Here is a 26,325-nt window from a genome sequence, read left to right as displayed (position 1 = left end):
ATAAACATGTTTCTTTTTAGAAATAAACAGGATTTCTGGGTAATACAGGGGAAGAGGTGGGTCTGGCGGATATGAGGCATCCATTTGCACATGCTTTGTTGTGCTATAGCTGCATTCAAGGGCCCATTAGCAGGGCAGAGAAAGCGTATAGAGGAATTTAATGCTGGTTGAATTACTGATGAGTGACAGTAGAGAAAGGGAAAATATTCAAGGAAGTTGACGGCATTGCCAAAGGGGAAGTTGGAGTGATGAATCCAGGCATCCAAGCCTGGGGTGAAGAAAGTGAAGTTGTGGAGTGCCTGTGTGTATGAGAGGGGCAGGAAGGAAAGCAGGGTAACAGGAAATGAGACAGATGAGCACGTGAGGTGCAGTGAAGGCCTGAAAGCTCTGGAGGGCAAGAAGGTGTGGCGGAAAGGAATGTAAAGTGAGGTGAAGGCAACTCTGCGTGTGCACTTCCTGTCCCTTCATTGTAGCTTGAGGGAGATTAAGGTGCAGCCCTTGAAGGCACTTGGAGGAAAGGGCAGAGACTGCAGGAGACCAGAGATGACGTATAAGTAGCCTAAAACTGAGTCAGCCGGGTGGAGCCAGCTCTTCCACCAACATCCATGCGGATCTCAACAGCATTGTCTGAAGCCCAGAAAGTTACCCGCAGCAGCTGCAAAAGCCACAAGATCAGGAAAGTGAAAGGAACATGAAACAGAAAGGACCTGAATGGGAAAAATTAGAAGGCATGCTGATTCTCACATTTTCAACATGTAGCTTTTGTATGGGTCGGGGGATTTTAAGATTCTGTGGATTACAGGGCTTAGGTGATCTAGAATGGAAGTAGAGAAAATAATTTTCTTGTGTTGGAAGGCAGCAATAAATCATCATTTTATTGATGTTGAAAAAAACCAGAGCTTATTGACAGGATTTAGGTATTATTGAAATGCAAGATTAAGGGAAAAGGTAGTAAAAGTTGACTCTGAGCTGTTTTGTTGGAGCAACTAGGTGGGCGGAATATTATGTGTATGGATGCAATATTATGTAGGTAATAAATATTACAATAAATACCATGTGAAAAATAACACTGAATTAAAAAGAGGAAACTTCTTTAGATACTAGATGATTGCAAAGATCCCCATGATAGCAAAGATCTTTCTCTGGAGAGATCCCAGAGAAAGCTTAAGTTGTTGCTTTAGTGTAGTAGTTACGAGCGCAGACTCTAGAGTCCCACTACTTGGGTTCAAGTCCTAGTTCCACCATTTACCAGAGATGAAGTTTTACCTTTTTGTTCCTGTTTGTCTAAAATGTGCATAACACTAGTATTTCCACAGCAGAACTGGGGGGCAGGAGGATGGGTGGATAAAATGAGTTAACACATGCAAAACATATGGAACAATGCTTAGTCCCTAGTAAGTACTAAATAGTTTTTGTTTTTGTTATTACAATAGTAAAGTTGATTTTGTAGGAAACAAATATTTAATTGCTATTGGGCAACTATGGTAGCACAGTAGCAATTAAATATTGCTACATTTAATTAGATTGCCCAATCAAATCCAATATTTGAAAGACGGTTAAATTGGAGGAAGTTGTAGAAACACATCTCGACATAGGTCAAAGATAAATTCTGGCTCATTCCTTTATGTCTCTAATGTTGCCTTTCAATCCATCTTGCATTCCACCAATGTATTAATCTTTCTAAAAAATAACTATAATCATGCCACCCAGCTTAGACGTCTTAAATCTGTCTGCTGCTTGATTGAGAAAGACTGAACACAAAGGTTGGCCTTCAGAAAACTCTATGATCTGGCTACATCATGGCTCCAGGTATAGTCCCACAATTTCCCTCTGTGAATCCTGGAGTCTGTGGATTACAGCAATTGCTCCAGTGACATGCCCTGCCGGTGTGCGTGAGGGAAGGGAGAAGGCAGGCTGCCTGCTGCTTTGTGTCTGCTCTTCTCTCTGCCCACAGTACTGCCTCTCTCATCTTTGCTGATATAAATCTAGTCCTTTAAGTTTCAGCATTAAAGCCGTGATGCTTCACGAAGGCCCCCTCACCCAACCCTCAGTCCATATGGCAGGATTCTGTACCTTTGCACCTTGATAATCCTGTGCCTGTTTGGATAGTCCTGAGAGCTCTATCCTCTTTCTCCCTCTCTGGGAAATAAGAATGGCCCTAGGTTCCACAGAGTCTAAGGATAAATAACTGTTAAAGACATGAGTATGTTAAGACATTTCAATCCAGCACAGCTGCATTGTTAAAAAAAAAAAAAAAAGTTTTAAGACCTGCAGGTAAGGAGCGTCCATCTGGAAAGGTGATGGGTTTGTCGAGTAACCGGGATATGTTTACTACCGGTGCGTAGAGGCGGAGGCATTCCTTGATGCACATCGTGGTGTAAGGCATCTGGCTCAGGTGTTCCCTGGGTAGAAGCACAGGAGGAAAGGAAAAGGAGGAGTAGTCACTTAGGCATTGCACTGAAAGCCCAGCTTTTCTCCATTTTTGTAACTGAGAATGATTTTGTTCTTTACCCAAAGGAGGACTTCAGATGTATCAAGTATGTCTTAGGAAAAGCTAAATGTTAACACTTACCACTTTTCACATGTAACTGTAAGTGATTCTCCCCCCCCCGCAGATATAGGGCTCTTATCCTGAGACATACTTATTCCAGGGCTCCTGTGACCAGTATCACACATCTGTGAAAATTTGGTAGAGACATGGACTGTATTTATATCCAGAGTGCCTCTTCTATGAATGAATAAGTATTTCTGCCTCTTTAGAATTGTAAAAAAATATAAAATAGGGATGTGGCTCTAAGATGGCTGACTAGCGGCATCTGGTACTCGCCTCTTCCACAGACAGGAACCAACATAGCAAGTAGATAATTACACTTCAAATAGATCATCTAAGGGAGAACGCTGGAATTCAACAGAGAAGTGATGGAAAGCACCAAAAGCAAGGAAGGAGAGGGAAGTGAGGCAGCCTGTTTGGCGGGGATCAACTGGGAGTCTGGAGAAGCTCTTTAATTTGGGAAAAGAATAAGTGAGAGCCCTCCAGTGATCCACGTTCCCACCACGGACTCCTACAATACTAGCTATGGAAGAGCCCACTAACCTTTGCAGGCCCTGAGACTAACATAAGGAGCCGGCTGGAGATTGCATGAAGACATTACTCCAGAGAGAGAGCTCACACTGGGTCCCACAAACCCCTGAGTCCTCAGCAGCTGCAGTGTGGCATCATCTGGAGAGCTCAGCCTCCATCAGACTGTGTCTTGCCTTGGGGTTCAACAGCCTCTACATCTCCACATCCCTGAAGCCCCAGTGACATTCCCCACCACAGCTGCTGTGGCTGCTGCTGCTGGTGCCAAGGTGGGAGCCACTGCCAGTGACCCTATCACCCCCAGCAGAGGGGTGGGCACACATTTTCATGCACCCTGAGGACAAATTCCACTGCCTGTAACTGTAGCTGCAAGGGCCAAGGTGCTAGCAAATCATGAGTCACCCTCATCCCACAAAAGCCTTTTGCTTATGGCTGCTCCAAATGAAAGCAGCGCCTCCCTTGTGGTGAGCCTAGATCGTGCCATTGCACTCCAGCCTGGGCAACAAGAGCAAAACTCCGCCTCAAAAAAAAAAGCAGCCCCAGCCCCTCCCTCTCCAGTAGCAGGGCCATAGCTCAGCTGCTGCCATTCTCATCTGAGCATTCTTGTAGCAGCCTGGGGATCACCCTGTCCCTGCCTACCATAGCCAGCACCTGCATACACTACTAGGGGGTCTGAGGGCAGATCTGCTCAGGCTGGCTCCACTCCTCCCAGTACCTGAGCATGCTGTCTAGGGCCCTAGAGACTGCCCTGCCCAGTCTATCATTGGCACCTGAGCACTTCTCCTGGGGTCTGAGGTTGGGCTCACTCAATCTGCTGCTACCACCACAGCTGGTATCCACCCACATGTGTCAACTGCGGGCTGGGGACTGGCCTGCTCAGCCCATCACCGCCACCACCAATACCAGCGTGGACTGCTTAGTATCAAGCAGGTTGTCCGACATGCCTGATGCCTAGGTGCGCAAGAGCTCACCCACCTACCTGACCCACCACTGCCATTTCCAGAACCCAGGCAAGCCACCTGGAAAGAGTTGGTCTGCCTGGAGTAGCTAACACTGGTGCTAGTATACATCACCTTGGTGCCCAAGAACGGGCATGCTCAGCCTACTGTAGCCACTGCTGGGACCCGAAGACTGGCCCATGTATCCCATTCCCCAACAAAACTTCACCACAGCTTCCACTAACAACCACATGCTAAGCCACTGAGTAAATCACAGACAAAAATGATGCTGTTTATAGTTGAAGAAATCATACAGCGATTACACTACTGCACATGCCCAGAATCAAAGCCAAAGCATCCTACCCAATGAACACTATGCATACATTTTCAGGAAAAGTCCTCCCCTATGAAAGCAAATTCAAAAAATTGGAAAAAGCAACTGTTACACAAGATGCACAAATACCAATGTAAGAACACAGGAAACATGAAAAGCAAGGAACTATGACACCTCCAAAACAACACAATAATTTTCCAGCAACATATCCCAATCAAAAAGAAATTTACAAAATCCTGGGAAAAGAATTCAAAATATTGACACTAAAGAAGCAAAATATTGAGGCTGGGTGTGGTGCCTCATGTCTGTAATCCCAGCACTTTGGGAGGCAGAGGCAGGAGGATAACCTGAGGTCAAGAGTTTGAGGCCAGCCTGGCCAACATGGTGAAACCCTATCTCTACTAAAAATAAAAAAACTTAGCTGGTTGTGGTGGCATGTGCCTGTAATCCCAGCTACTCAAATGTCTGAGGCAGGAGAATTGCTTGAACCCGGGAGGTGGAGAATGCAGTGAGCCAAGATCGTGCCATTGCACTCCAGCATGGGCAACAAGAGCAAAACTCTGTCTAAAAAAAAAAAAAAAAAGAAAAAAAAGAAAAAAAAAAGAAGAAGGTGAGATACAAGAGAATGCAGAAAAACACTAAAAAGAAGTCAGACAAGAAATTCAGGATATGAGTGAGAAATCCACCAAAGAGATAGATATCATAGAAAAAGATGGCTCACACCTGTAACCTCAGCACTTTGAGAGGCTGAGGCAGTAAGATGGCTTGAGGCCAGGAGTTCAAGACCAGCTTGGACAACATTGTGAGATCCTATCTCTATTAAAAAAAAAAATTAGCCAGGCATGGTGGCACATGCCTGTAATCCCAGCTACTTGGAAGGCTGAAACAGGAAGACTGCTTGAGCCCAGGAGTTTGAGGCTGCAGTGAGCTATGATCATGCCACTACACTCCAGCCTGGGTAACAGAGTGAGACTCTCTCTCTTAAAAAAAAAAGGAACTGAACAGAGATTCTGGAGCTGAAAAATTTATTGAATGAAATACAAAATACATTTGAAAGCTTCAACAATTAGAGTAGATCAAGCAGAAGAAAGAATCTCAGACCTTGATGACAGGTCTTTTGAAATAACCCAGTTATACAATTTTTTTAAAAAAAGAATAAAAAAGAATGAGCAGAGCCTATGTGACATATAAGACACCATCAAATGATCAAATATTCAAATTTTTGGTGTCCCAGAAGGTGAAGAGGAAACAAAAGGGTTAGAAAACCCATTTAATAAAATAATAGACAACAACTTCATAAGTCTAATAAGAGATTTACACGTCCACATACTGGAGGCTTAAAAATCCCCAAATAGATACAATTCAAAAGGTCTTCTCTACAGCGTATTACAGTCAAACTGTCAAAAGTCAAAGATGAAGAGAAAATGCTAAAAACAACAAGAGAACAGTGTCTAGTCACTAGTCACTTATAAAGAAACCTCCATTAGGCTAACAGTAGATTTCTCAGCAGAAGCCTTTCAGGCCAGGAGAGAATGGGATGATACATTTGAAGTGCTGAAAGAAAACAATGGTTAGTCAAGGATACTATTCCCAGCAAAGTTATCTTTCATAAATGAAGGAGAAACAAGCAGAAGCTGAGGGAATTCATCACCACTGGCCTTAACCTATGAGAAATGCTCAAGGGAGTCCTATACCCAGAAGTAACAGAATGATAACTGCCATAATGAAAATACTTGAAGATATAAAAACCACTGGTAGAACTAACACACAAACAAGACAGAGAAAAAGCTCAAATGGTACCACTACAGAATACAACCTAACCACAATGCTAAATGATGGGAGAAAGAAAAGAACAAAGTATATACAAAACAACCAGAAATCAATTAATAAAATGACAGGAATATGCCATCACATATCAGTAATAACCTTGAATGTAATGGAATTAAAATTTCCACTTAAAAGGTATACATTGGCTGAATGGATTGAAAAACATGACCCAACTATATGCTGTATACAAGAAGCTCATCTCACCTGTAAAGACACATATAGACTGAAAGTAAAGCAATGGAAAAAGATAGTCCATGCAAACAGAAACCAAAAATGAGTAGGAGGAGCTATGTTTATATCAGAGAAAAAGTAAAAAGTAGTAAAAAAGACATAGAAAGTTATTATATAATGATAAAGGGATCAGTTTAGCAAGAGGCTATAACAGTCTAAACATGTATGCATCCAACATTGGAGGACCCAGATATATAAAGCAAATATTGTTAGATCTAAAGAGATACACTTTCATACCATAATCGTTGGAGACGTCAGCCCCCTACTCTCAGCTTTATTCGAGTCATCTAGACAAATTTCTTTATAAATTTATTAATTTATAAAGAAACATTGGATTTAAATTGCACGTTGGACTAAATGTACCTCCCAGACATTTACAGAATATTTTGTCCAATAGGTGAAGAATACATATTTTTCTTATCAGCACATGGAATATTTTCCAGTATAGACTGTATGTTAGGACACAAAAGTCTCAACACATTTTTAAAAAATTAAAATCATATGAATTGTCTTCTTAGACCACAAAGGACTAAAATTAGAAATCAATAATAAGAGGAACTCTAGAAACTGTACAAATACATGGAAATTCAACAACATTCTCCTGAACAACAATTGGGTCAAGAAAGAAATTAAAGAGGAAATAAAAAAATTTCTTGAAACAAATGAAAGTTGAAACACAACATACCAAAACCTATGACATACAGTAAAAGCAGTGCTAAGATGGAAATTATAGTAATAAGTGCCTACAGCAAAAACCTAGAAAGATTTCAAATAAGCAATCTAATGAGGCACCTCTAGGAAGTAGAAAAACAGGAACAAGCCAAACCCCAAATTAGTAGAAGGAAAGAAATAACAAAGATCAGAGCAGAACTAAATGAAACAGAGGTTAAAAGAACAATGCAAGGATCAATAAAATGAAAGTTGGTTTTTGAAAGATAAGTAAAATCAATAAACCACTGTTAGACTAATGAAGAGAAAAAGAGAGAAGATCCAAATAAAACCAGAAATGAAAAAGAAGACATTCAACTGATACCACAGAAGTACAAAAGGTCACTAGAGACTATTATGAACAACTGCACACTAACAAACTAGAAAACCTAGAAGAAATGGATAAATTCCTGGAAACGTTCAACCTACCCAGACTGAACTGGGAAGAAATAGAAAACCTGAACAGACCAGTATGAGTAGTGAGATTGAATCGCTAACAAAAAGTCTTCCAAAAAAGAAAATTCCAGGACTGGATGGTTGTTCTTAAAAGCATTATTTATACAGTAGTCCCCACTTATCTGTGAGGGATACGTTCCAAAACCCCCAGTGGATGCCTGAAACCATGGATAGTACTGAACTTTGTATATACTGTTTTTTCATATACATAAATTCTTATGATAAAGTTTAATGTATAAATTAGGCACAGTAAGAGATTAATAACAATAACTAATAATAAAATAGAACAGTTTATAACACTACACCAGCATAGATGCTTTTTGTGCTTTGAGGCCGTTATTAAGTAAAATAAGAGTTACTTGAACACAAGCACTGTGATACCATGACAACTGATTTGATAACCAACACCAACCGTGACCAACTGGCAGGTAGCATATACAGTGTGGATATGCTGGACAAAGAAATGCTTCACATCCTGGATGGGACAGAGGGAGATGGCAGGAGATTTCATCATGCTACTCAGAATGGCATCAATTTAAAACTTATAAATTGTTGTTTATGGCATTTTTCATTTAATATTTTTGGACTGCTGTTGACTGTGGATAGTGAAATCATGGAAAGTGAAATCACAGACAAGAGGGCGCTATTGTAATAGCAAAACCAAAACAAAACCTGAGAATAGCCTAAATGTTCATCAACACTAGAATGGATATAGGATTCATGATTTATACATAACGGAATTCCATAGAGGAATGAAAATGACCGAAAAGAAGCTCCTCTAAAAAATGAGTGAATCCTGTGCAAAAGAAGCCAAACAAAAGAATGTATGATTTTATTCATATGTACTTCAAACAGAAGATAAACTAGACTCTAGTATTTAAAGTTGCAAGCTTAGGCAACAAACTATAAACAAAAACAAAGAATGAATGTTATTAAAGTCAGGAAAACATTTACATCTTGGAGAAATAGAAGGGGTTTGTGATGGGAAGGCAGGCACGAGGTTTTTAGCAGTGCTGGTAATGAGCAATTTTTCTTTTAAACCAGGGTTGCAACTATATGGCTGTTTGTTAGACAACATTTTAAGCTATACATCTGTTCCCTGTACTTTTTGAATGTGTTCTATGTTTCACCATTTTAAAGTTTTTAAAACATGATCAGTTTGGTTTTATTAACACCATGAAATACCCAGCAGCTCAAGGTTAATCATCATTGTGGGGTGGCAGTGTTTAAGGTTCAGAGATGGTGATAAGGAAGAGGGGTGTGAATTCTCTTTCATGTCAAGTGATTGAACATCTTACTTGGGCAATCTAAGGTGGTAAAAGCTGGAGTCCTAAGAAGTCCATTTACATCTTGGAGAAAGAGGGGTTTGTTATATTCCTGCCTTCCGTGACATAAAAAAGGTAGGCAGACTATTCTTTCCGCAGTTGTACTATTGCCTGAAGTGAGGAAAGTAATAAAATAGGGTGTACTGAATACTGTCTGATTGACACAGTGTTTTTCTATATAAAAACTAGTGATAATCTTTAAATAACGTAGGACTCTAGCCTACACCCTTACCTTTCCAAATGCATACAGACTATCTCAATGCACAATAACTTACTGATACCGGAAGAGAGAAATAATCAAATGTATAAGGGGAAAATTCAGGATGAAATAGGAATACAGGTCTTACCAGGTAATAGAAGACCCATCCCCTAGGAGTTCCCTGATTTCATCTCGGCATCTCTGCTGATGCTCAGGGTACTTTGCCAAGCAGTAAAGGATCCAGGAGATAGCACTGGATGTGGTGTCATGTCCTGCAAACATGAACGTTTTCACTTCAGCCTGGAGATCTGCTTCAGAGAAATCTTTGGTGTTTTCGCTCTAAAAAATACAGTGATGATCTTTATCCAAAGCTGGCTATGGATTGTTATCTTTTTCAATTGTAGCAATGATAATACAAAAAGATTAATGTTGTAAAATTCAAAATTAATACAACTAATTTGGCATATATTTTTCTATTTTACTTTTTTCAAACCTTAACAGAACACCAGGCAATGTAGAAAGAAATGACTCAACAGAATTCAACTGGGCAGAATAAATTGAGAGTCCTATGGACGTTCATATTTTATGATTTATTAATTTTACTTAAGGGAATAAACTCTAAGAAAATGTTTATTATGTACAAGAATGTTTAATACCATAGTCAAAAGAAGGAAAGACCGCAAGTGGCCAAAAATAGGGAAAGGTAAAATAAATTATGGACCATCCATAAAATGGGACACTATGTAGTAACTAAAATTATGTCTTTGAATAACTTCTTAATGATAAAGGGAAAGCTCATGATTTATTATTAGGTGAAAAGAGCAGTATTAGAAATGTATTACATATGAATATGTGAGTTAATAGTAATTTTAAAATATACAAGTTGAATAGACAAAATATTGAAGGAAAATAGTAGTATTACCAAATGGGATTGCAGGCAGTTTTAGTTTTCTTTAGTGTCTATTTAATTTTGTTTAACAATTAATATGTACTATTTTTCCACCAACAACAGGTAATCCAAGAGCCAAATCATGAATGAACTACCATTCACAACTGCCACAAAAGAATAAAATATGTAGGAATACATCTAACAGGGGAAGTGAAGGACCTTTTCGAGAAGAACTACAAACCACTGCTCAGAGAAATCTGGGATGACACAAACAAGTGGGAAAGCATTCCATGCTCATGGATAGGAAGAATCAATATCATGAAAATGGCCATATTGCCCAAAGCGATTTATAGATTCAATGCTGTTCCCATTAAACTACTATTGAGATTCTTCATAGAATTAGAAAAAACTTTTAAAATTCATATGGGGCTGGGTGCAGCGGCTCACGCTTGTAATCCCAGCACTTTGGAAGGCCGAGTTGGGAGGATCACTTGAGTTCAGGGGTTCAAGACCAGCCTGGCCAACATGGTGAAACCCCCATCTCCACTGAAAATACAAAAATTAGCTGGGCATGATGGTTGGCATCTGTAATCCCAGCTACTCGGGAGACTGAGACATGAGAATCACTTGAACCTGGGAGGTGGAGGTTGCAGTGAGCCAGGAGCACACCACTGCACTCCAGCCTGGGTGACAGAGAGTCAGTCTCAAAAAAAAAAAAAAAAATCATATGGAACTGAAAAAGAGCCTGAATAGCCAAGACAATCCTAAGAAAACAAACAAACAAACAAACAAACAAACCAAAGCTGGAGGCCTCTCCAAATTATACCACAAGACTACAGTAACTAAAAAAGCATGGTACTGGTACAAGAACAGACACAGAGACCAATGGAACAGAATAGGGAACCCAGAAATAAAACTGCACACCTACAATCATCTGATCTTCAGCCAAGTCAACAATAACAAGCAATGGAAAAAGGATTCCCTATTTAATAAACCATGCTGGGAGAACTGGCTAGTCATATGGAAAAAATGGAAACTTCTTTACATTATGTGCAAAAATCACCTCAAGATGGATTAAAGACTTAAATGTAAAACCCAAAACTATAAAAACCCCAGACAAAAATCTAGGCAATACCATTCAGGACATAGGCATGGGCAAAGACTTCATGACAAAGATGTCAAAAGCAATAGCATTTGACCCAACGATGCCATTACTGGGTATATACCCAAAGGAATACAAATCATTCTATTATAAAGATACATGCACATGTATGTTCACTGCAGCACTATTCACAATAGCAAAGACATGGAATCAACTTAAATGCCCGTCAATAATAGATGGGATAAAGAAAATGTGGTACATATACACCATGGAATACTATGCAGACATAAAAAGGAATGAGATCATGTCGTTTGCAGGGACATGGATGGAGCTAGAAGCCATTATCCTCAGAAAACTAACACAGGAACAGAAAACCAAATACCACATGTTCTCACTTATAAGTGGGAGCTGAATGATGAGAACACATGGACACGTGGTGCGGGAACAATACACCTGGGGCCTGTTGGAGGGTGGGGGCTGGGAGGAGGGAGAGCATCAAGAATAGCTAATGAGGCCAGGCACAGTGGCTCACGCCTGTAATCCTAGCATTTTGGGAGGCTGAGGCGGGCAGATCATTTGAGGTCAGGAGTTTGAGACCAGCCTGGCCAATATGGTGAAACCCCGTCTCTATTAAAAATACAAAAATATTAGCCAGGCATGGTGGCAATGCCCGTAGTCCCTGCAACTTGGGAGGCTGAGGCAGGAGAATCGTTTGAACCTGGGAGGTGGAGTTTGCAGTGAGCCAAGATCGCGCCACTGCACTCCAGCCTGGGCGACAGAGTGAGGCTCCATTAAAAAAAAAAAAAAAAAAAGAAGAGCAAATGAATGCTGGGCATAATATCTAGATGATGGGATGATCTGTGCAGCAAACCACTATGGCACATGTTTACCTATGTAACAAACCTGCACATCCTCCACATGTACCCCTGAACTTAAGAGTTGGAAATCAAAAAGAAAAAAGGTATTAACTCAAAATAAAAACAGTGTGTACTATTTTTCTAATCAGCAAATGTTATTTTATTTTTTACTATTATTTTTAGAGTCGATATCTTGCTCTGTCACACAGTCTGGAGTGCAGTGGCATGATTAGCTTTGAATTCCTGTTCAAGTGATCCTCCCACCTCAGTCTCCAGAGTAGCTAGGGCTACAGGCAGTGCTGCCACACCTGGATAATTTTTAAATTTTTTATAGAGTTGGGGTCTTGCTATGTTGCCCAGGCTTGTCTCAGACTCCTGGCCTTAAGTGATCCTCCTGCCTCTGTCTTCTGAGTCGCTGGATTACAGGTATGAGCCACCATGCTCAGCAGAAAATTAAATTTTTTTTTAACAAGTCATTAGTTCCTGGGAATTCTATTTCACTTCCAAATCCACCTCATTTTGCAGTGCCCTGTTCTTAGTAGTCCTGGTTTAGGAAGAGTCGTGTTTCACATGATCAAGGTAGCCAACACAATGAAAGTTGAGTTCACAGAGTATTTATTTATTTTGGTCCCTCACAGAGTATCTATTTATTTTTGGTCCCTCACAGAGTATTTGTTTATTTTTGTTCCCTCAAATAATTCAGCACAATTAAATTCAGCAAATATTTATTGAACACTTGGAGATGATGATGGAAAATTATGTTCACATGGTGCCATTTGGTACAACGGAAATGGCATGAGATTTGGACCAAACCAGAATTGTCTTAAATCCTGGCTTTGTTAGTTTTAGGTATGTCATCTTGAGCAGTTCACTTCACTTTTTGAGCCACAATTTCTCTTCCTTACATAAAGATATTTATAAATACCCCACAGGTTGTTATAATAAAGGTTGAAGATGCTTGGCACATAAGCAAAAATTATGAATAAATATGTATTAAAATATAAAATAACTACAAAATAAAATAAAAATATTGTTTTTCTCACCACATGTCAGTATCTTTACACATATAATCTAATTTTATCCTTACAGGATTGCTAGCCTGGTGTGCAACAATAGTTGTCATATATTGAGTGACTGTTGATTGCCAAGTCCTTCACTTTTCTCATGAACATCACGTGGACACCTCATGAGACAGTCACCAAGCACTGTGCTAATCACTAGGGAAACAGGAATAAAATATGATCCTAGTCTTCTAGGATGGGGTTTTTCAAACTTTAATTGCAAATGAAACACCGAGGGATATGTTGAAATGAAGATTCTAACCCACTAGGTCTGAGGTAGGGCCTAAGATTCTGCATTTCTAACAAGCTCCCAGGTTTTACCAATGCTGCTGGTCTATAGACCACATGTCGAGGAAGAAGGTTTCAGCAGCTTGTGGGCTTGGAAAAAGACAGACAAGTGCCCAGATAATTAAAATGTGACACTGGAGGCATGAGGGAAAGCCCTGGGAGGACAAGCAGGAAAATCTTCACAAGGGAAGTTCAATATGTATCAGTTATCATATAAGTAAGTTTTTCTAATTTATTTATTTGTTATTTTAATTTTACTTATTTATTTATTTTTTGAGACAGAGTCATGCTCTACCACCTCCTGGGTTCAAACGACTCTCCCACCTCAGCCTCCCAAGTAGCTGGGACTACAAGCATGCACCACCATGCCCAGCTAATTTTTGTGTTTTTTGTAGAGACCAGGTTTCACTATGTTGGCCAGGCTTGTCTCAAACTCCTGACCTCAAGTGATCTGCCCGCCTTGGCCTCCCAAAATGCTGGATTACAGGTGCTAGTCACTGTGCCCGGCCTATTTCTTTATTATTTAATTATTGAGTCGAATGTGTTCAGAAGTTTAGAAGACTTACTTTGGCACTCAAAAGTATGTCCAGAAAATCCCAGCGCCTTTTCTGAGTAGTATCTTGTTTTAGCTTATCCTTAAGAGACTCCTTCCGGTCCTGGATTACTTTCTCTAGATGGAAAAATTATGATCTTTGTTATTATCAAGGTTACTGGAAAGTCAATCAAAGCCAAATGTAGTTCTGAGAAGCTGGTGCTTTATCGGTAGCCCCTGGCTGCCCCCCACCCAATGTTCCTGAGTTGGTAAGGGACAGTACCACTAGCTGTCTTTTTAAAAAAATCGTCCCATCCCACCTTTTAGCCACAATTTCTCTTCCTTCAAATAAGGATGTTTAAATGTATCACACAGGGTTGTTGTAAAGGTTGGAGGTGTTTGACATATATGCTTAGAGGTGCTTGGTACATAAATTTAATTCAAAGGTTGTAAAATTTGTTTGTGATGTAGGGTACTGTTACCAATCGCTGAGCTTAATTTGTACAACCTAGGCTTTGGTTTTAAAGAAAAAGATGAGATGTCATATCTCATGGTAGAGACTGGTGCTCAAATTGAGTGGCAGAGGAATACTGAAAATATTCCCCTTGAGAACTGGAACAAGACAAGGAAGCCTACTCTCACCACTCCTATTTAACATAGTACTGGGAATGCTAGCCACAGCAATCAGGCAAGAGAAAGAAATAAAAAGCATCCAAATAGGAAAATAAGAAATCAAACTTTCTCTCTTTGTAGATGACAAAGTTCTATGCCTGGAAAACCCTGAAGACTCTGCCAAAAGGCTCCTGGAACTGATAAATGACTAGTGGAAACAGAAATTCTCTCCATAACACACATTGTTGGTTCTCTGCAGTACGTTGTGGCTTTCCAACGTTTCCTTTTTGTGCCTTTTCTACTGGAAACTAGGCTCTAAGCTACTTCTGTGAACAGGAAAGTTCTGCCTTTAGCAGTTAGGAGTAAAATGTCTTCCATAGCCAAATTTTAGTCTCCATATTGTCCCATCAGCATGAAAATAGCCCCTCAGTTCCTATGTTCTTTTAAGACATCCAATCTGTTTCCTACTAAAATGGTACTTAGTAAGGGGATTCTAAGTTTGGAAGTTAACCGGAACCATTTTTCTAAGGTAAATGCTTTAGCATGGGCCATAATAGCAGGCAATTTGGCACATTGCCTCCATTAAAGGAGGCTTGCCCAAAAATGACACAGTCTCTCATATTTTGGGGAGCCGGGCAGATTACACAGGTTTAGGAAGTGAAAAGAGGAATGACACAAGGTGGATAAGCTAAGGTTGTGTGGGTAAAGCATCACTTAGTTCATCTGGTTCCATAGCTTGGAGGACCACGCCTTCGACCATAGGTGGCATATTTAACAGGGTGCTGGGACCCAAGAACCAGGGAGAGAAAACAGCCAGAAGGATGCTCCCCTGTCTTGTCCTTCACCCTGGGTCATATGGAAAGGAAGGAGACTAAAAGAACTCTCACATCTTTTTCTAGATGGGTAACAGATTATCTTCAGCTTGCACCCCTCTGGAGTGCACTCTGAAACACTGGAACTTCTTTAACCTCAGGACTTCAAAAAGAAAAGCAACTCATTTTCTTTTGCACAAGTGCATGGCATTTTTACTAAACCCTTGCAAACATCGTAAGATCAACCCAACTCTTTTAACAATCATATCAGGCAGGCCCAAAAAAGAATAGTTCCCCCAAATTAGAGAAGTAACCTCCAGGGAAACCATCTGAGGATTCCCCTTATTTGGGGCCCCTTCAAGTTCCCTTCTCATTATAGGACCTTAGGCAAATAAATGGAGACTTAGGCCAGTTTTCTAATGACCCTGATAGGTATTTAGAGGCTTTCCAAAATTTAACTCAGGTATTTCACCTGCCATGGAGGGATGTTATGCTGTTCCTAAACCAGACCCTCACAGCAGCTAAAAATCAGGCAGCTCTGCAAGCAACAGAAAATGTTGGAGATGAGCAATATATCTCCTATAATACACCAAAAGGGAAGAAAGCAGATAGGGAAAGTGAAGAAATAGCAAAAACACCATTCCCAATTGGGAGAGAGGCAATTCTGGTAAAGACCCCTAATTGCAACCCCAATAACTCAGAAGATAAATGGAAAAGGAAGCACTTTTTAATATGCATTTTAGAAGGCCTATGGAAAACCAGGACCAACCCTCTCAATTACTCTAAACTGTCTGTAAGAGACCAGAAGCCAGATAAGAATTCCGTAGCCTTTACAGAAAGGCTGAGAGAGGCTGTACTAGAACCCCAATATTAGAAGGAAAGTACAGAAGCAAGCTATAGGACCAGATAGCACCTTAGAGAACCTCCTGAATGTGGCCACTTTGGTCTTTTATAATAGGGACCAGGGGGAGGCCCAAAAGAAGAGAAAAAGCTCAGGAGAAGGAGAGAGACGGTAGCAACAACTTTGCAGGCTTGCAAAGTCCAGGATCCCCAAGTTGCATCCGCTAGTTTCTATCGGTGTGGCATTTTAAGAAGGAGTGCCCAGGCAGCAAGACAAAGCCAGCGTGACCCTGTCCAGCCTGTGGCACAGATCACTGGAGATGGAAGTGCCCCCAGAGGTGGAGGTCACTGGGTTCAGGACCACTCTCACAGATGGTCCAGCAGGACTGATGGGTCCTGAGACTCAAATGCCGACTCCAGTGGCTCAAACTGCTATTACAGCACGGGAGCCCTGGGTGATTCTGGAAATTAAAGGAAGGAAAGCGGACCTCCTTCTGAACATTAGAGCCAGTCTCCTTTCTCCCCTTTAACTCCAGGCCTCCCCTCTTCCCACAGCAGGACCGGAAGGGGCATATCAGGAAAAACTCTGATCCAATATTTTTCTCAACCTTAGTTGCAGTTAGAACTTATTGTTTACACGTGTTTCCAAACCATCGTCATAACAGCTCTACTAGCAAAAAAAAGCCTCCAGGTTAACCCTAGGAAATAATTTAACTGTTTACACTCCACATGATGTGGCATTATCACTGTCCTGTAGGGGGAGCTCTTAGTTAACAAACAGCCAGTAAAGCAAGAAGTACATAAGGCAGGATAAGCAGTAGTCACTCTAAATAATGTCTCTCCCCAGGCACAAGCACTTAATTGACGGAGCTAATAGCTCTTACAAGAGCACTTGAATTAAGCAAGGAAAGGTAGCTAACATTTATACCTACTCCAAGTATGCTCTCTTAGCTCTCCATGCTCATGCTGCCATTTAAAAGGAAAACCGCCAATGGACCTCCTATAAAATATCACCACAAAATTAGCAGGTTATTATCCTCAGTTTTTCTTCCATGAGCAATAGGAGGGATGCATTGTAGGGGACATCAAAAGGGAACAAATAAGATAGCCGAAGAAAATAGGTTAGCTGATCAGGCAGCTAAATCAAAGGCAAGGAAGCCTCAGGGCATCAACATGCTTCAAGCCCCTTCTAATTTAGGAAGGCGTCATAAGAGAAATTAAATCCCAGTATTCCCCTGCAGAAATAAAATAGGCCACTTCTCAAGGGCATACTTTTCAGTTCTCAGGATGGTTACAGTCAGGATGGCAAACTCTATTTGCCAGCCTCCAGCCAATGGAAAGTCCTTAAAATCCTTTGCCAAGCTTTTCACTTGGAAAAGGACAAAAACTTATCAATGTGCTCAGAGATTGTTTCAGGCAGGAAACCTCTAAATTGGTTAAGCATGTAAACTCTCTAGCTCACTTCCAATAGACGATAACACAACTAACAAGAACCCAATCCCAAGAAATAGAAACACCTTTATTTAACCCAGGAAATTTGGTATTGGTGAAAACTCTCAGCTCTTTCTCCTTCCCTAAGTCAAGCTGGAAAAGGCCCTACACTGTTCTTCTTTCAACCCCCTCAGCAGTAAAAGTTACAGGAATCAACTCCTGGATACATCACACTCAAGTCAAAGCCTGAAGAGCTGAGGGAGCAACCCCTGACAGCTCAGAGGAATGTCTCCATATCAATGTGAAGAAACAGAGGATCTTAAGCTGAAAATCATGAAAGATAAGTAACTGAGTGACGGCTACTTATCTTACTCAGTCCCTCTCCTACCTCACCAGATACTTTTCACTATTTCTAACCTTTCCTCTCAAAGATCATCACCAGATACTAAAACCTCTTTTTAACGCATATTTGCAGGGAGATTTTAATTATTCGTAGAATCGCATTTGTAACTTTGTAAATCCCCAAAGGGAAATGTTATGTAAACTTTTCAAAGGAAATTATTTACTATGCCACTCTTGTGGGAATTGTTATAGTCATGCTACTATTTGCAAAAGAAGTATACACTGTAGCACCCACAATGTGGAACTCTGGTTATAAAATTCTAATTGCTGTAATATCTTGCCTAATTATTATCCTTATAACAGGATTAATAATTGCAGGAAAGATTTAGTCAAGGTTGTTTTGCTTATGGCAGGAGTAATAGTTATGGATAAGAAACAAGTATGAAAATTTTACTATCATTAAGTTTAATAGGACTTTTTACTGAAGGTTCATAATATAATCCACTTTAAGCTATGAAGAGAAGGTTATAAAGAAGAAGATTTTATAAAAGAAAGGATTTTGTATGGTAAATACTTGTCCTAAAAAAGATGACTGGTTGTTTAAAGGAAGAATGTTTAGGACATGTCAGAAATTTTAAGTATGTTGTAAGAGGGTCTATGAAAGTCAGAAAAAATTAATAATTAAAGGAAAGGAATTGTGAGATTAACACTAAAGTTGTTTTAGCATCCAATATCATATTTCTCCCAATCATATTGCAAGTTATAAAAATGGCCTAAGCCTGAACTTATTCTCTAAGCAAACCTAACTGCTGTGAAGGGGCATTGGACGACAATTCTTTCTTGCTACTGCCTGCTGAAAAGGGGCGTTGTGTGGGAGAAAGGCAGTTGGGCCTCCTCCTGAGGTTGATCTAAGGGTTCTCAAAAAAATAGCTTGTTCATGTGTGGTTCTGCCTGCAGCACTGTTTGGAGTTTGATTGCTTCTAGGTGAAAAGAGATAAATTTTACAAGAAGGTTTAAAATATAGGGTTAGAATATGAGTATTAAGAGTATCACTGTTAATGGGGATAACTATAGGCCATAACAGAGTTTGATACCTGTTACACCAATGGATTGCAATATTGGTTTGCGTCCATTAGGTGTCGCTGTGCATTACCAGAAACATTAACATAAAAGTAACATTTTTCTTAAGAAAAGCATACATTTCCCCCTTGACTTGTCATTAGAGAATAACTTCCACAATGTGGAATTCTGGTTGTAAAATTCTAATTGCTGTAATATTTTGCCTAATTATTATCCGTATCCTGCACATCCTGCACATATACCTCGGAACTTAAAAAAAAATTATTAAAAAAACCCATCACAACAATATTTAAAAATATGAGAAGTAGTAAATAGAGGTTCAAATGGTGTAAGATCCTTGCATTTTCAGGGAAGTATTTAATGTAATTACATATGTTAGATTCTAATAAATAAAGACTACATGTTGTAATTTCTAGCATACCCATGAAAACTAAACTTATGATCTAAAACAGAAAAAATAATAATATAAAATGATCCAGCAATTAATAAAAGAAGGGATAAAAATCGGTTAAATAGAAAACAAATAGTTACACGGCATGTTGAAATCCAAATATTCTAGTGATTACATTAAATATAAGTGGTTTAAATGCTCTAACCAAAGCACAAATATTTTCAGACTACATAAGCAAAATCTAAATAAATGCTGCATATGAGAAATAAACCTTGGCTGAGCACAGTGGCTCACGCCTGTAATCCTAGCACTTTGGGAGGCTGACGCAGGCAAATTGCTTGAGCTCAGGAGTTCGAAACCAGCCTGCACAAAATGGTGAAACCCTGCCTCTAGTAAAAAAAAAATACAATATTTAGCCGGGTGTGGTGGCACACACCTGTAGTCCCAGCTGCTTGGGGGGCTGAGGCAGGAGGATCACTTGAACCCAGGAGGTTGAATCTGCAGTGAGCTGAGATAGTGCCACCACACTGCAGCCTGGGTGATAAGGTGAGACCCTGTCTCAAAACAAAACAAAAACAAAAAACAAAAAAAAATTGGAGAATCAAATAGACACATTTGAAGAATCAAATAGACGAAAAAAAAATGATAAAGGGATGTCACCACCAATCCCACAGAAATACAAACTACTATCAGAGAATACTATAAACGCCTCTAAGCAAATAAACTAGTAAATCTAGAAGAAATGGATAAATTACTGGACGCATACACCCTCCCAAGACTAAACCAGGAAGAAGTTGAATCTCTGAATAGACCAATAACAGGCTCTGAAATTGAGGCAATAATTAATAGCCTACCAACCAAAAAAAGTACAGGACCAGATGGATTCACAGCCAAATTCTACCAGAGGGACAAGGAGGAGCTGGTACCATTCCTTCTGAAACTATTCCAATCGATAGAAAAAGAGGGAATCCTCCCTAACTCATTTTATGAGGCCAGCATCATCCTGATACCAAAGCCTGGCAGAGACACAACAAAAAAAGAGAATTTTAGACCAATATCCCTGATGAACATTGATGCAAAAATCCTTAATAAAATACTGGCAAACGGAATCCAGCAGCACATCAAAAAGCTTATCCACCATGATCAAGTGGGCTTCATCCCTGGGATGCAAGGCTGGTTCAACATACGCAAATCAATCAACGTAATCCAGCATATAAAGAGAACCAAAGACAAAAACCACATGATTTTCCCAATAGATGCAGAAAAGGCCTTTGACAAAATTCAACAGCCCTTCATGCTAAAATCTCTCAATAAATTAGGTATTGATGGGATGTATCTCAAAATAATAAGAGCTATTTATGACAAACCCACAGCTAATATCATACTGAATGGGCAAAACCTGGAAGCATTACATTTGAAAACTGGCACAAGACAGGGATGCCCTCTCTCACCACTCCTATTCAATGTAGTGTTGGAAGTTCTGGCCAGGGCAATCAGGCAAGAGAAAGAAATAAAGGGCATTCAATTAGGGAAAGAGGATGTCACATTGTCCCTGTTTGCAGATGACGTTATTGTATATTTAGAAAACCCCATTGTGTCAGCCCAAAATCTCCTTAAGCTGATAAGCAACTTCAGCAAAGTCTCAGGATACAAAATCAATGTGCAAAAATCACAAGCATTCTTATACACCAATAACAGACAAACAGAGAGCAAATCATGAGTGAACTCCCATTTACAATTGCTTCAAAGAGAATAAAATACCTAGGAATCCAACTTACAAGGGATGTGAAGGACCTCTTCAAGGAGAACTATAAACTACTGCTCAATGAAATAAAAGAGGATACAAACAAATGGAAGAACATTCCATGCTCATGGGTAGGAAGAATCAATATCGTGAAAATGGCCATACTGCCCAAGGTAATTTATACATTCAATGCCATCCCCATCAAGCTACCAATGACTTTCTTCACAGAATTGGAAAAAAACTACTTTAAAGTTCATATGGAACCAAAAAAGAGCCCTCATTGCCAAGTCAATTGTAAGCCAAAAGAACAAACCTGGAAGCATCACACTACCTGACTTCAAACTATACTACAAGGCTACAGTAACCAAAACAGCATGATACTGGTACCAAAACAGAGATATAGACCAATGGAACAGAACAGAGCCCTCAGAAATAATACCACACATGTACACCCATCTGATATTTGACAAACCTGACAAAAACATGAAATGAGGAAAGGATTCCCTATTTAATAAATGGTGCTGGGAAAACTGGCTAGCCATATGTAGAAAGCTGAAACTGGATCCCTTCCTTACACCTTATACAAAAATTAATTCAAGATGGATTAAAGATTTAAATGTTAGACATAAAACCATAAAAACCCTAGAAGAAAACCTAGGCAATACCATTCAGGACATAGGCATGGGCAAGGACTTCATGTCTAAAACACCAAAAGCAATGGCAACAGAAACCAAAATTGACAAATGGGATCTTATTAAACTAAAGAGCTTCTGCACAGCAAAAGAAACTACCATCAGAGTGAACAGACAGCCTACAGATGGGAGAAAATTTTTGCAATCTCCTCATCTGACAAAGGGCTAATATCCAGAATCTACAAAGAACTCAAACAAATTTACAAGAAAAAAACAAACAACCCCATCAAAAAGTGGGCAAAGGATATGAACAGACACTTCTCAAAAGAAGACATTTGTGCAGCCAACAGACACATGAAAAAATGCTCATCATCACTGGCCATCAGAGAAATGCAAATCAAAACCACAATGAGATACCATCTCACACCAGTTAGAAAGGCGATCATTAAAAAGTCAGGAAACAACAGGTGCTGGAGAGGATGTGGAGAAATAGGAACACTTTTACACTGTTGGTGGGACTGTAAACTAGTTCATCCATTGTGGAAGACAGTGTGGCGATTCCTCAAGGATCTAGAAGTAGAAATACCATTTGACCCAGCCATCCCATTACTGGGTATATACCCAAAGGATTATAAATCATGCTGCTATAAAGACACATGCACACGTGTGTTTACTGTGGCACTTTTCACAATAGCAAAGACTTGGAACCAAGCCAAATGTCCAACAATGATAGACTGGATTAAGAAAATGTGGCACATATACACCATGGAATACTATGCAGCCATAAAAAAGGATGAGTTCATGTCCTTTGTAGGGACATGGATGAAGCTGGAAGCCATCATTCTCAGCAAACTATCACAAGGACAAAAAACCAGACACCGCATGTTCTCACTCATAGGTGGGAATTGAACAATGAGAACACTTGGACACAGGAAGGGGAACATCACACACTGGGGCCTGTTGTGGGGTGGGGGGAGGGGGGTGGGATAGCATTAGGAGATATACCTAAGGTAAATGACAAGTTAATGGGTGCAACACATCAATATGGCACATGTATACATATGTAACAAACCTGCACGTTGTGCACATGTATCCTAGAACTTAAAGTATAATAATAAAAAAAAGGAAAAGAAAAAGAAAAAAAGACATAAACCGCAAATATAAGGGCACAGAAATGGAAAAAAAAGAGTATGGAATAATATACTATCAAAATACTAACCAAAGGAAAGCAGAGGTTATCATACTAGTAGCAGATAGAGTAGATCTTAAGACTAGAAGCATTATTAGAGAAAAAGAGGCCAATTTTATCAAGATAAAATGATAAATCAGAAATATATTCCAATTGTAAATGGCTATTGTCATAGGTAGATTTATGGTCCCTCAAAGTTATCTATGTCCTAAGTCCCCAAAAACCCATGCAAAAGGAATACTCAGTGGTGTGCTGTGTTGTTTGATGAACTGTGCATAGTAGGCAGTACCCACTCATGTTCAGTACTTGCTCAGATGTCCTGCTCTGTCTTCCTACAGAAATGTACTTCCTTTCACTTTTACTTTTCTTCACATCTGAAGCTGCTCCATAAGAAATGAAGCAAAATAGACAGATGTTTTGCTTATTGTATTAGTTCTAACACCAAACATTAAAATACAGCTATATATAGTCAATAATATAATACCCTCTACATAGCATTTATGTAGCACATTCATTTAAGAGGTACAAATTAGCATTTCTGAATGATGACCATGCCATATGTCCATAGTAGAAGCAGCCATAACCAGAGTCAATGTCTCAGACAATGAGATGTCTCATAGTGGACTCTGGCCATGTAAATCCCAGGACTAACCTGTGAACTGATGAAGTTCTTGGTTAAATTTAGAAAAGATTTGGCCTTGAGAGCTGAATTTGAAAACCAGGTCGTTGTGATGTAGAAAATTGTTCATGCGCTGGTTGGAGATTTTGCTAAGGTTGAACACTGCTTTCAGGTATGAGTCCAGGGTACTGGAATAGGGAAGATGGAACAACATGTTAGTGGGTGACACAGTTATTGGCAAACAATTACCTTCCTTTTGTCACTGACCTGTCCAACTGGATGCTGCCCTGGTGGCTGAAGGCACACTTCATGATGCTGTCCAGGGTCATCAGGGAGACATGTTGAAAGAGCTCCAGACGTGAGTTTTGGGCAATGTGTTCCTCCCATTTGTTCTGGGGCAGGGGATGAATATCATGATCATACACATGCCCATCTTTCCCAATTTCTAAGTTATTTTATGTCCCTTTTAGAGCTTGCTGGGTTTGAAAATATAAAGCGTACAAAATGAATTTGCCTTATTATGACAACCATATAAAATGAAACACCTTGTCAGTACTGAAAATGATACTGTGCCTTAGATGCTATTTGTGACTTTGTAAGGGTGGGGAAATAGCTATTTTTCCCTCTTTTTCAAGTTTCATTAGTACAATTTATATGACTTTTATCATGGAAAAACTAAGCTGACAAAACATGGAATAAAAAATAAATAAGAATTCAAAAACATCTGTAGAGAGCATAAATAAACAGAGGTTTTTGATTCTAGGAAAAGATCCCTAAAAATATTTAGTACTTGACAAGTTTTTTCCCAGATCCATTGAGAATTTAGAGAGGAATTAGAGATAGTTCTTATTCTCAAAGAGTTTGCAGTTAAGAGTCAAGACAGAAAACCCTCAACTATATATTAGAATTCAGATGTTATTTACCCCCTTGGACATACCTGCCAATATCCCAGAAAATTTCACTTTGTCAAAAGCCAAATGTTTATTGAGACGAAGTTCTCCATTTCAATATAAATATTTATACACTGTTAAGCTGTTATTAACTCTGTAATGTGAATTAATTAATTAATTCAATTTGAAAGCTTTTTTCCAAACACGTTACTAAAATCAGATGTTCTGAAAGATTGCAACTGTCATGGAGCCAAGAAGAGTAGAGAAAGAGCAATAGGTAGGTGATAATGGGGGTGGTGTCTGTTTGGATGTGGGTAAGGGCATTGCAAGGAGAGGCAGTGGTTGGAGCAGGCTGAAGGGGGCATCATCAGGAAGGAGCCTTAGACTCGAAGAGAGGTGCATCAGTTCAGGGTGTGCTCTTCCAACTCAAGGAAGCTTGAGTTTGAACTCAACTCTTCCTCTAATCTGCCTTATGATCATGTATTTTTAGTAGAGATGGGGTTTGGCCATGTTGGCCAGGCTGGTCTTGAACTCCTGGGCTCAAGCCATCCACCCACCTTGGCCTCCCAAAGTGCTGGGATTACAGGCATGAGCCACTGCACCTGGCCTGCCTTGTGACCTTGAACAAACTGCTTAATCTCTGCATCTCAATATCCTTACTAGCAAAATGGAGATAATACAGCAAAATTGTAAGACTGTAGTAGTATAAAAGGATATAATAAGCCTGATGCATAGTAAGTGCTTAAAAAGTATTTGCAGTCACTATATTTATATGTTTTGCTTTGATTTTTATTTTGGAGTGGGACGTGGGCATGGTGACGAGGGTCATAAAGGATAACAACATGGCACACTGGAAAATATGGGGCCAGTATGAATCCAAGCTGACGTGTTTAGGGGAACCCATGTCTCTGAGCCCCTGTATCATTAAGAAGTCTTTGTGACTAGGATTGAGATCCTGTGTATAGAATTGCTTTACTCCATGCCTGGGATCTTAGAAACTTAGTCTTTGAGTTGTCGCAATCACCTCATTCAGGACCCCTGAAACGGACCTTAGGTGTGCTCAAAACCACCTCGCATGTCTTTGCCATCCAAACTCCAAGAGGACAGGTGTGGAGACACACAATTGTGTCTTCTCTATGGGTTTTAGATTGTCTTGTGACATCTCTGCACCCTCTTCTGCCTCAGCCAAAGCTAAAGCTCCCTTTTCTCCTTGACCACAAGGCCATCTTTTCTCTGAGTCCCCATCTCTAGAAATCCTCCCCATTCTCCAAGACTCAGCTCGTGTCACCTTTCTTAGGAAGTGTTTCCTGACTCGACCTCCTGAACATGATACATTTCTCTATGTTGGCATGGCTACTCCTATGGGTGTCTTTGCTCTTCTGCCTTGTGTTCTCCAAATGTAGTGAGTCTACTGGACTCACTCACTCATTCATTCAGCTACTTCTCATTGAGCACCTACCCTGAGTCCATCCCTGTGAGAAGTGTTGGGTATACAAGACAGGGTCCTTGCCCTGATGATGATGGTCATGGTCTAAACATCAAATAACCCCATATAAACTGCTGTGAACATGGTTCTGAGGGAACTCAGAGTCTCCCACACCATATGGCTGGCAGCACCTCACTTCAGAGGCCAGGTACGAATGCTCTCTTCTCCTCTTACCAGCATCATCCGAACACTCTCAGACATCATGGTGATGAATATTTTCAGAATGCTGATGTTGAAGCCAGGTTTCACAATCTGGCGGTGCTTTTTCCATTTAGAACCATCCAGGGTCACAAGTCCTCGACCTTATGAAATGAGAGGGGCAACTGTTTCTATCAGAGGCCAGGTAAGTGAAGAAAGACTAGGCACGCAGTGAGCAATTCCCTATCTATGACACTGGAGAAAAGTTAGAGTGGACAGAGCTTTGAAAGAGT

General features: G+C 39.9%; 1 protein-coding gene and 1 long non-coding RNA gene across 4 annotated transcripts in view, besides 2 other annotated features; one reads left to right on the top strand and one right to left on the bottom strand.

Moving 5' to 3' along the window:
* The window catches only part of CYP4A22-AS1 (CYP4A22 antisense RNA 1), an 84,084-nt gene extending 71,094 nt beyond the window's left edge, over positions 1 to 12,990 (top strand). For both annotated transcript variants that reach the window (NR_189276.1, NR_199717.1), the window contains exon 6: positions 10,110 to 12,990. This is a non-coding gene — a long non-coding RNA (CYP4A22 antisense RNA 1). The remainder of the gene's footprint in view (positions 1 to 10,109) is intronic.
* Positions 1 to 26,325, bottom strand: part of CYP4Z1 (cytochrome P450 family 4 subfamily Z member 1) — a 62,794-nt gene that overhangs the window by 9,789 nt on the left and 26,680 nt on the right. For both annotated transcript variants that reach the window (XM_024453856.2, NM_178134.3), the window contains 6 exons: positions 26,069 to 26,196; positions 23,786 to 23,910; positions 23,552 to 23,706; positions 13,861 to 13,964; positions 9,246 to 9,436; positions 2,269 to 2,402 (listed from right to left, as the gene is read on the bottom strand). In XM_024453856.2, coding sequence (XP_024309624.1) covers positions 2,269 to 2,402; positions 9,246 to 9,436; positions 13,861 to 13,964; positions 23,552 to 23,706; positions 23,786 to 23,910; positions 26,069 to 26,196 — 837 coding nt within the window. The remainder of the gene's footprint in view (positions 1 to 2,268; positions 2,403 to 9,245; positions 9,437 to 13,860; positions 13,965 to 23,551; positions 23,707 to 23,785; positions 23,911 to 26,068; positions 26,197 to 26,325) is intronic.
* Positions 80 to 689: an enhancer, noted in NCBI's record as "NANOG-H3K4me1 hESC enhancer chr1:47573513-47574122 (GRCh37/hg19 assembly coordinates)". NCBI's record gives its function as "activates a minimal SCP1, AML or CMV promoter by ChIP-STARR-seq in naive H9 embryonic stem cells {active_cell/tissue: H9 hESC(naive)}" and the evidence as "EXISTENCE:reporter gene assay evidence [ECO:0000049][PMID:30033119]".
* Positions 3,696 to 4,416: an enhancer, noted in NCBI's record as "H3K4me1 hESC enhancer chr1:47569786-47570506 (GRCh37/hg19 assembly coordinates)". NCBI's record gives its function as "activates a minimal SCP1, AML or CMV promoter by ChIP-STARR-seq in primed H9 embryonic stem cells {active_cell/tissue: H9 hESC(primed)}" and the evidence as "EXISTENCE:reporter gene assay evidence [ECO:0000049][PMID:30033119]".

This window comes from Homo sapiens, chromosome 1 (assembly GCF_000001405.40).
Source record: "Homo sapiens chromosome 1, GRCh38.p14 Primary Assembly".
NCBI classification, from domain to species: Eukaryota; Metazoa; Chordata; class Mammalia; order Primates; family Hominidae; genus Homo; species Homo sapiens.
The sequence above is the reverse complement of the archived record's forward strand: the minus strand, read 5'-3'. Positions and strand labels throughout refer to the sequence as shown.